Source organism: Homo sapiens, chromosome 2 (assembly GCF_000001405.40).
Source record: "Homo sapiens chromosome 2, GRCh38.p14 Primary Assembly".
Classification (NCBI taxonomy): Eukaryota; Metazoa; Chordata; class Mammalia; order Primates; family Hominidae; genus Homo; species Homo sapiens.
Window position 1 is genome coordinate 66,814,839 of NC_000002.12, and position 11,176 is coordinate 66,826,014.

The 11,176-nt window shown below is 39.8% G+C and overlaps 1 pseudogene, besides 1 other annotated feature; it reads right to left on the reverse strand.

Moving 5' to 3' along the window:
* Positions 5,087–6,679, reverse strand: DNMT3AP1 (DNA methyltransferase 3A pseudogene 1; annotated as a pseudogene).
* Positions 10,131–10,931: an enhancer, noted in NCBI's record as "VISTA enhancer hs1244". NCBI's record gives its function as "enhancer in: ear[5/8]" and the evidence as "EXISTENCE:transgenic organism evidence [ECO:0001131][PMID:17130149]".

Below are 11,176 nucleotides of genomic sequence, written 5' to 3' on the forward strand. Positions count from 1 at the left end.
GTATAGAAAAATACCTTCTTTTCCTTGTTTTCAGTTACTTCCCATTTATTTACTCACAGATTGTGATACGGTTTGGCTCTGTGTCCCCACCCAAATCTCATGTTGATTTGTAATTCCCAGTGTTAAGGGAGGAACCTGGTGGGAGGTAATTAGATCATGGGGGCAAATTTCCTCCTTGCTGTTCTCATGATAGTAAGTGAGTTCTCAAGAGATCTGATGATAAAAAAGTGTGTGGCACTTCCCCCTTCTCTCTCTCTTTCTCCTGCTCTAACACATGAATATGTGCTCACTTCCCCTTTGCCTCCTCCTGTGATTGTAAGTTTCCTGAGGCCTCCCAACCATGTTTCCTGTACAGCCTGTGGAACTGTGAGTCAACTAAACCTTTTTTTTTTTAAATAAATTACCCCGTCTCAGGTAGTTCTTTATAGCAGTGTGAAAATGAACTAATACAGAAAATTGTCACCAGGAGTGGGGTATTGTTATAAAGATACCTGAAAATGTAGAAGCAGCTATGGAACTGGGTAACAGGCAGAGTTTGGAACAGTTTGGAGGGCTCAGAAGAAGACAGGAAGATGAGGGAATGTTTGGAACTTCCTAGAGACTTGTTGAATGGTTGTGACCAAAACGCTGATAGTCATATGGACAGTGAAGTCCAGACTGAGGTGGTTTCGGAAGCAGATGAGGAACTTATTGGGAACTGGAGTAAAAGTCACTCTTGCTATGCTTTAGCATATATAATATATAATTATATATAAGCATTATAAAAATTATTACTTTATATACATATATAATTATTATATAATTATATCTAATATAAATTTATTTATTTATATTACATAATTCATGTTTTTTGATATTTTAATTATATTTATAATCCTTAAAAAATTTTTAGTGAGTTGCATAACACTGGGGTTAACCATCCTTTTCTATGTTTAATAGTCATGTGCTTTTTCTTTCTAACATTTGCATGTTCATATAATTTACACTTTTTTTATACATAACTTTTTGTGCCCATTTTTCTTACTGATTTAAAAAAGCTTTTTGTGTGTTGAGGAGAAATCTCATTCACAAACACAATTTTTCAAGAAATATAACTATATTCAAATAGTGAACTTAATTTATACTATAAATCTTTATTTCTGTGGATGCCAAAAACTAAACTTTAAACAATGTATGGTTTCCCCTAGTTTTCTTCCCAGACATGAAATACGAGCTTTACTGGGCGCTAATGATTGCAAGCTTGTTGCTAAGGAACAAGATTTGACTAATTGACATGCTGTTACTTGACAGGTGAGGGTTTAAAGAAAATTGGAGCCAACATTTAAAAATTAAAATATTTCACTTTCGAAAAAGTGAAAACTTGCAGTTCTTGTTGAGAAGTCAGAATATCTGTCCTTATAGGGTCTACATTCTTGCATGAAAGCGATTGCCTTGAGCTGAGAGGCAGCTACCCATTTCAAAGGGTGCATGTGTGTCCAGTTTAATAGGGTTGTATCAGATTTATTTAAAAATTATGGAACATATATGTATGTGCATGTGTGTGTATGCACTTATTTTCCACATGTTTACATATACACCTATCAATAAATATGTAAGCATATATGCTATGTGCTTATAAAAGAATTTCCATTAGGATATAAATCACAACAAACTATTGTTATTATATACTCCTCCCTGTTATTATACACCTGCATATTTCACTCATTAATGTTACCTGTCTAGTTCCTGTAACTGTTTGAGTTTCCAATCTTTCCTAAACATTATGGAAAACATGCTCATAATAAGTAAACTCTTTAAAAATTGATACTTTAAAATGTTATCATCTGGGAATCGTTAGTACAAGATATTCTTATATTAAGCATATATTATCCGGACTATGTTGACAGGAATCTTTTTGATCACTTGAGACAGTCTGTAACTGGCTGCCTTATTTCATCCATTCATATCATTAAAAAAGTATTTATTTATTTTTTGTGCATATATAGTAGGTATATATATTTATGGGGTACATAAGATGTTTTGATATAGGCATGGAATGTAAAATAAGCACATCATGAAGAATGGGGAATCCATCCCCTCAAGCATTTATCCATTGAGTTGCAAACAATGCATTCATATCTTGTGGAATGTTTGCCTGGATGTTCTATTCACAGTATTGGCCCTTTTGCACCTCCCAGGAGCAGAATTTGACACTATGAGCTTTGTCCTACCCTATCTGACAAACTTTTGTGAAGTTATGTATGTATATGTAAGATATATTTTTAATCCATATTTATGTTTTGTAATCTGTATCAACATGTTTGATAAATGAAAACAGTCTGAAGCTCAATTCTTTTCTTGAGTATGTGACATTTATCCCCTAGAAATCTTTTGTGCTACACAAGTGAAGAAGTCACAGAGTAAAGGTGGTATGGAAAGGAAGGTACGCATTGTTTAATAGACAGACTGAGGTTGGAAGAAAAGAGAAATATAAATAAGTTATATGCATATATTATGTGCCAAGGAATGTTAGTGGTCTGTAAAGAACAATGAACTATGTTTCTACATCTCTGAGTTCTGAACTACTGAGAAATAGACCTAAAGAGCTAGATATGAAAATGGATGGCAATTATGGAAAACCTAATTGAAATTGCATAGGGAGACTATTAATTCTTATTGCCAGACACCAAATTGCTAAAGTGAAGTGGTTATGAGGTTTTAACCAATTTCATTCACAGTTATTTAAGTAACAGTGTTATAACTATTATGAAAAATTCTGTTTTTGTGGATCCAAGGCTAGGAAAAAGAAAACAAATATTTTCCATACATGCAGTGTTTCTGTTTTTCCCTGCTCAGGGTGGACAAATTGTAGTTACTATTTTAGCTATTATGTACTTAACATTCTTGGACTGTTTTTTAATTTTATTTTTAATTTTTATGAGTACAGATTAGGTGTATATATTTTGTTTTTTGATTTTGCGCCATCTCTTACTTGGTATGGACTTAGTGTATGGCATGCAGGAGCTGTTTTCTGCAGAGGGAAAAGCTGACATACCTCTGGCTTATAAAAAGTTTATAACAATATGTGTTTATAAATTGCTTACTTTGAGATGGACAGGTGAAAGGCACTATATAAAATTGCCAAATATTATTATCTGTCTAAATGTAGCTGAGTGAACAAATCTTTTTAACACCCATTTTAATGACACAGTTGTTCCATATGGTGGACTTCAGATGGATAAAAAAATCCAGAGTTAGTACATTCCCTGGAGAAAACCAGATTGTCCAGGTGTGCCATATTTTAAACTCAGGGTAGAATTAAGAGGCACAGCTTTTCAAAATTCAGGCCCAAACAGCAACTCACATCAATTTAATTTCTCTGTTGTTTCAGACAACACAGGGCTCTTTAGTTAATGAAACAAAACCATGTATTATATACTGAAAAGGTGGTCCTAATCATTTTATGTGTTTGAGTCAGCATCGATTTTAGTAAGAGGAAGTCCCTGGAGCTGAGGTTGAGTTATTTGCATAATTTTTCTTAAGTTTCTTAAAGACTCAGACTGGCTTCTTTCTGGAGATTCCATGAAGATGGTGTCCCCCAGAGAGGTCTTTGGTAGCAATTTTTAGATCTTGAAGTGTTTTTTCCATTGTGGTTCAGAGCTTTTCATGGCCTTTAGTTTGACAGATAGAACAATGAGGCACAGGCAACAAGGTCTGCCAACCTCAGAAATTATGGTACATTCAGAAAATAGATTTTATTTTAAGACGAGCCTAATTATTACTGAGACAGAGTCCTTTTTCCTCTTTCCTGTTGTATTTCTTGTTGAAGTTGATTCTGCTTTTTTCAATTGATTTAAACTTTCTCTTGCAAAATAACTCAAATGTTGAATGCAGTGTCTTGTGGAAGCCTGACACCATTAAGGACTGGAAGAGGAAAGTCTAAGTAAGAGAGTGCCACCAAGATGCTTGCTCTTGGATGTGCTGGTGGAAGGGTCTACTTAGCTTGGTGGGTTTACCTCTTAACTGTTCCAATAGTTAAGGCATAGACAAAATGAGGACAATGTGGACCATGTTGACCCCAAATCATGTGTACAGGTGACATTCTCGAGCCTAGGTAGCAAATGAGTGCTTTGAGCACAGAGAAGATGGGAAGAAAGTACAGACCTTGGAATATGATCCAACCCACCTAATTTCTTGTCCTGATTCTCAACTAGAAAAAAAATAGTCTTTGTTCTCCTTTTAATAACTACTGTGTACTAACTTTGTGTACAGTTTACAAAGTCAGGTATCTTAAAAACAATCTGAGGCTCAAGAGGAAGGTTGTTATTATTAGAAGCTACAGACTAGGAGAAAAGTCTTTACAAAGCTGGGTCTTGGGCCTCTGGGAAGAGCCCCGTCTAGTACCTTGAAGGGGTGCAACATGAGACTGATTTTAGGAGTGGAAAATAACTGGAAATTGGAAATAACTGCCATTTCCAAAGCGAAGGGCTGTAGCTGGGGTGATGCCGACTAGAACAGTGAGCAAACAGGAAGAAGCATGCCCCTTCTGCCTCTTGATGTTTTCTGTCACTCCCATTAGTAGAACACAGTAGGAAGCCAGCTAGCCAAGGAGAAATGATGTTTGTAGAGTCCCATGCCCAGCATCCCAAAGCTTAACATAGAAAGGTGGGTTCGGAGCCAAAAGACATAGTACATCCCACCATCCTTTTTTTAACTTTTGTTTTAGGTTCAGGGGTACATATGCAGGTTTGTTATATAAGTAAATTGTGTGTCACAGGGGTTTGGTGTGCAGATTATTTTACCAGGTAATAAGCATAGTACCTGATTAGGTTGTTTTTCAATCCTCAACTTCCTCCCTCTCTCCACCCTGAAGTAGGCCCTGTGTCTGTGGTTCCCCTCTTTTTGTCCATATATACGCAATGCTTAGCTTCCACTTATAAGTGAGAACATGTGGTATTTGATTTTCTGTTTCTGCATTAATTTGCTTAAGATAATGGCCTCCAACTGCATCAATGTCCTTTGCAGCAACATAGATGGAAAATAGTAGAAAACAAAAGTTCTTACCAAAAAAAAAAAAAAAAAAAAGAAAAAGAAAAAAAGGCAGAGGGCGGAGGAGGAGGAAGAGGAGGGAGCTTGTTTTGTTTTTAAATAGAACTGAAGAAAAACATTGAAAAATCAGAAGATGTCCAACCCTTTTTGCAAGGCGAAGCCCTCCGTTATTTCTGCCTCTGTAGTTTTTGTTTTGAATTCTTTTTTTCTCTTCTGGGTGCTGATACTTCTCTCTTTCCTTACATTGTTAGTGTTTTATTATGTTTTGTTTTGTTTTTTTTTTTTTTAGTTTGTTTAAACTTGTGTCACTACCTCAGTTTGCCCCCATGTCCCTTACACACAAGCAAAATACCCCTTCAGTGGAGGGAAGAATTGGCAAGTGACTGCTATGCTCCATGACTCACGCAACAGTCTCTGCCTTGCCCAATGGCTTATGTTGGAGATGTCAGTATAATGGACAGGGAGTCCAAATACCCTTTCAATTTCAATGCACCTAAGGTGTCCTTCTCATTCATGAAGACAGGGAGACGCTGGTCTTTGCCCTGCATTATGGAGTTTGACCTGGTAGTAATGGTCCTCGCTTTGCTGACCTTGGCTTTTCTGCCATGCTCCACACACTCCTGCAGCTCCAGCTTACATTCATAGTGAATGCCAATGGCCTGCTCTTACTGGGAAGGTTACCACAGATGTAGTAGTTCTGGTGTGCAGCTGACACTTCCTTGGCATTAATCATCATGGAATTCGAATAAAAAAATTGTGAGATGTCTCTCTTTTGACTAGTGCCCATGGCCACCACACTCTCAAGGAGCCACAAGAAGGGTGATCATCTCCCTCCTTGGGCTGTGCATGATGCACAGGTGAGAAAACTCAAAGAATTGCTGGCCAGTGCCCTTGTAGGGTCCTTCGTGGGCAGGGTTGACAATGGAGAGGTCATTGCAGAGAATGGGCCCCACTCCTGGTTGTGCTTCTGTATGATGGTTCGGGTATCCCTGATGTGCATGATCCTCCCCTGGTGCCACAGCATGCCCACAATGATGGCGTCCTCACACACCTCTGAGACATGTAGTGATCTACCTAAATGCCCAAGCCATTCAGCACCAGGAGCCTCATATCAATCCCGTCAAAAAGAGACAGCACCTGGATGGGCGGCTTCCTTTTCTCAGCTGGGACAGGCGAGTAGACTTCCAGAGGGTCAAATTCCTGGTTAGGGTTATTGGGGAAGAACATCTGGAGCTGAGAGGGCCAGTCATCCCGCCACTGCAGCAGCTCACAGATGCCCTTGTGTTCACACATGTAGCAGTTCCAGGGATCTTCCTTAATGGTCACCTGGGCAACCTCTGGCCCAACCAAGAGGTCTATACACTCCACGCAAAAGCACCTGCAGCAGTTGTTCCAGCACATGAGCACCTCGTGCCCACAGCAGCAGATGGTGCAGCAGAACTGATAGCCTTCTTCATCATACTGGTATGCATATTCCAGGAAGCAGTTCTTGCAATGTCGTCATATTCCTAGCATGAAGAGGGGCTGTTCCAGAGTGACATTGAGGCTCTCACAAGAGACACAAAGGTCCTTGATGTTCTGGCACTTCTTCCTCACTTTGTACACTAACTACTCTTCTGTGTTCATCAACAATCTCCTTGATGTCGAGCTTTTTTTTTTATTTTTTTTTGAAACAGAGTCTTGCTCTGTCACCAGGCTGGAGTGCAATGGTGCTATCTCGGCTCACTGTAACCTCCGACTCCCTGGTTCAAGTGATTCTCCTGCCTCAGCCTCCCCAGTAGCTGGGATTACAGGCACATGCCACCATGTCCAGCTATTTTGGTACTTTTTAGTAGAGACGGGGTTTCACCATGTTGGCCTGACCATGTCAGGTCTCTATCTCCTGACGTCGTGATCCGCCCGCCTCAGCCTCCCAAGGTGCTGGGATTACAGGTGTGAGCTACTGTGCCTGGTCCCATGTTGAGCTTCTTAGCTGTGCTCTTTCGGGGCTCTTTGGCTGGTGGGGGTGGTGCCTAAGCAGTTGCCTCAGGGTCACCCCTCACGTGTGCATAAACTTCTTTGCTGGGATTCTTCTCCTCTTCTTGTGGCTCCAGTCTCTTGGGGGCAGAAGGCTGGAACCCCCCAAAGGTCCATCTGAATATCTGCTTGCTCTGCACCTCTGTATCCTTGGCAGTGTCACTCTCATCACTGTCATGGCTCCCTGAGAACAGCTCCCCTGTACACTGCTGGCCACCGGCAGGACTTCGTAGATGGCTTTGTGGTACATGGGCTGCTTGTTGTATTATAGGTGGTCTGGTGGAACACACTGCAAAAGGAGCTCAGTGGTATCAGCTTCTCTACACACAGCACTGAGAACTCACCTCTCCAAGCCACATGACACAGTGGGTGCCTTCAGCTGCTCGGCTTTGGCCTGTCATCCACCAAGACACAATGCGGCCACCAGGAGAAGCCCTGCAGTTTTCCTCACACCAGCTCCCCATTGCCAAAGCCCCAGCTGTCCTTGTACTCTGGTTCATCGTCACCTGCTTTGATGTACTTGTTCCCAGCCTCAGTCCCCACAGGCTCAGGTGTGGTAACGACAGTGGGGGATGTGGGGTTGCTGGGCTGCCGCACAGCAGCAGGGCTGGCCTCCTCCACCTTTGCAGACTCCTCTGAGCCCTAGTTTTCTTCCATAGCATTCATTACTGCAGTGACCTCGGCCTTTCTTCTCAGCCCATGAGGCCAGGTGTAGCCCTCTGAGGTCCAGCTCAGCATCTTCAGCATTTTTTACTTGGAATTCCACATCCAATTAGTTGCCAAGTCCTTTCAATTTCACCCCTATGAGATGCGATGCCTTTTTTTTTTCTTTCTAGCTGATACTACTCTCATTTAAACCTTTATTACTTCTTGTCTAACTCATTTCAGAAGCCTCCTAATGGGTCTCCTCTCTTGCTCCTACCTTTTCCCTTATTAATCCAGATGAATCCTCTCAGATGATTGCTCTGATTATGACTCTCTCCTGACCCAGATACTGGGATGAAGTCAAAATTCCTTGGCATAGCTCTCAAGGCTTTTCACAACCTCATCATCCAACTTTTCAGACATGGCTAAAAGATATGAGATTATGGATATGTAAATTTGCTTGGATGTGGTTAACCACTATATATAAGTGTATACAACCACTATGTGTAGGTTTCCAAACATCATTTGTACAGCTTAAATATATATACAATAAAACAAAGCAAAACAGGCTTACCTTAAAGAATCTTCATCCTATAACCTCTACATACCTAGCTCTACTCAGGACTTCTGACTTGCCAAAGGCCTCTAAATTATTCTTTCCTCTGGGCCCATGGTCATTTAGCTTCTGCCCTGAATGCATTTCTCACCTACACTTGATGCTTCAAGACCTTACTTGAATGTTATTTACTTCCACGAAGAAAGTCTTGGAACTTATCATAGACTCAGTACAGTTCATTGTAAAGCTTTAGAAAACTTACTAAGCACTTAGTTAATCTGCAAGGCCCTATTAAAGTTATCATTTTCAACAGATACATTATTTTAAAATGCAGTAAGTTTTTAGAAGTCAATGAATTTTTGGAAGGTAAAAGAATTTGTGATTTTCTTTTCCTTTTAGTATATGCTTTATATACTTCCACCTTTATCTTTTCTTTTTCTTAAAGATATCAGTGGAAGTATATAAAACATACTATATATGTATACAAAGTATATAAAGAATAGCTCCTGCAGAAATGATGAGGATGGTGATGACGATGATTGCTCAAATTTATTGAGCACTTACTATATGGTAAGCACTAACTTAGTTAACTTGCCCTTAACTTGTGTGAGCTTGTTTGATTCGTACAACCCCCCCAGTGAAGTTCATACTACATGATTCCCATTCCACAGCTAAGGATCTTGAAGACAGGAAGCCTAAATCATATGCCCCGCTGATACATGTTGGGTCCAGAATTTAAATCAGGGAGTCTGTCTTCAGAGCCCATGCCATTGACCCTTAAATAGCACCTTATAATGAAATTGCATATATATTTCCAAATTTATCTTTTCTTCTTCTTAAATATAAAAGTGGAAGTATATTAAACATATACTAAAAGGGCCATCAATAATTCAATTCTTTCCTGTCAGGAAATCAGTGAAAACTATCTATGTATCTATGTATCTATGTATCTATGTATCTATGTATCTATGTATCTATCTATCTATCTATCTATCTATCTATCTATCTGTCTATCTGTCTATCATCCATCTATCTATATTCTTAAACCCAAAGAAGACTCTTTACTTAGAAGTAGGGGCAATTTACAGAAATCTGAGGCACAGATTCCATACCTGAAACTGAGAATGTACTTAAAGGAAATATTGACAGGAGGAAGAGCAAATGCAGAGGAACTGACACATTAACCAGAAGTTAAATGATAGAGACACGGGCATGATTATATATATATATATATCAGCTAATGGAAAGTGCGAAAAAGATAATATAATCATTGGGCATGAAATAGATGCAACTTAAGGCTTTTCAATAAAGCTTTGTTAGGGGATAACCCAAGAATACTCCAGAAGAGGGGGAAAGAGACATTGAACAAATTTTAGAGGCAATATTGAACAAGTGAAAATAACTTAAAAAATCACAGATAGCTGAGTTTTACCTAAGATTTACTCAGGAATGTGGAATTCAGAAAATAAAGTAGAGAAGAGAGATTTCTTAAAATTAAATGATTTATTAAAATGAAATCAATTTCTTGTGAAGTTGGAACTAGGGAGTCTCAGATGCAATGGATAACTCCTGCAAAAATGATGAGGATGGTGATGATAATGCTTGCTAAAATTTATTGGGCACTTACTGTGTGTCAGGCACTAACTTAACTAACTTGCTCTTGACTTGCGTGAGCTTGTTTGATTTGTACACCTCAGTGAAGCTCATTCTACATGATCCCCATTTCACAGGAAAAAATCCTGAAACAGGAAGTCTAAGTCATATGCCCAGCTGATACTTACTGGGTCCAGAATTCAAATCAGGGAGAGTCTGGCTCCAGAGCCCATGCTATTGACCCCGAAATAGCACCTCACAATGCAAAGAAAGGACAGATTCTTAGAAGTAGTGGGTTTATTGACAGAGGAAGTAAGCCTCTTCTACAGGTTTCTAACATAACTTTGAAATGAAATAAGGGTCATGGGGCAAGGGAAATTGACAAAGGTGATGACGCAAGTCCTATTAACTAGTTTGTTACTGAGAGGGGCGGGGAGGACTTGTGAGTCCTGAGAGCTCCCCCTGAACAATGCTGCCTTCAGTCCAAATTATTGCTGAATGAAGGGGAGGGGCAGAGTGGCTAGGTGATCAAAGGCCCTTCAGAGAAGGAGGTGGAATGGCAGCCACGGGCCCTTCTCTGTCTCCAGGAGTTCACTGTACTGCATTTAATAATTGCTTCCCATTATTGCCTCACTGTCTGTTCCAAATAAATCTACCTGATTGGGATGGATTTGGTGTGGGAATATCTGTTCCAGCCTATTAGCCAGCACCTTTACTGAGATTTCCCTGTCCACATTTATTAAGGAGATTGGGCGATAATTCAGGCTGGGTTCAGGTTCTCCTCCTGGTTTAAGAATTACAAAAATTAGTGTTGATCGTAGGCCCAAAAGTCATCATTTTGTTTTCAGTTCATTCTTGTCCCTTCTTAGCAATGGAGGCAGAAGTACCTTGCTTTGGGGTATGAAACCAGATTATCAAACATCAGGGCTCTTGGTGCATTTCAGAGAGTGACTACTTTTAGGGGGCAAATTTTCATCTTTTCACTTCGATCTTGCCCTCTGAAAGTAGCTGTGTTTCTGGCTATACTTGTAGCTTCAGTCATTCTCAAGCAGACCCTTTAAAAATAACCCGATAGAGCCTAAGGAGGGAGCATCAGTGACTTTCCTTGGCACTACTTGTTGGTTTAGGAGATTTTTTCTCTTTTAATGAGTTAATGTCAAAAAATGAACATGGAGTTGGAGTCTTCCCATGTCCCATTTTCTACCTCACTGTGGGAAGCAGGATAATATAGAAAAAGTTCTCTGTTCTTCTCAGAAATGGAATCTTCACACTGCCAGCTACTCTGCTAGTTGCAGACATGTTTCTGGGTCTCCCCAAGTCCTAAACTCACCACAAGTG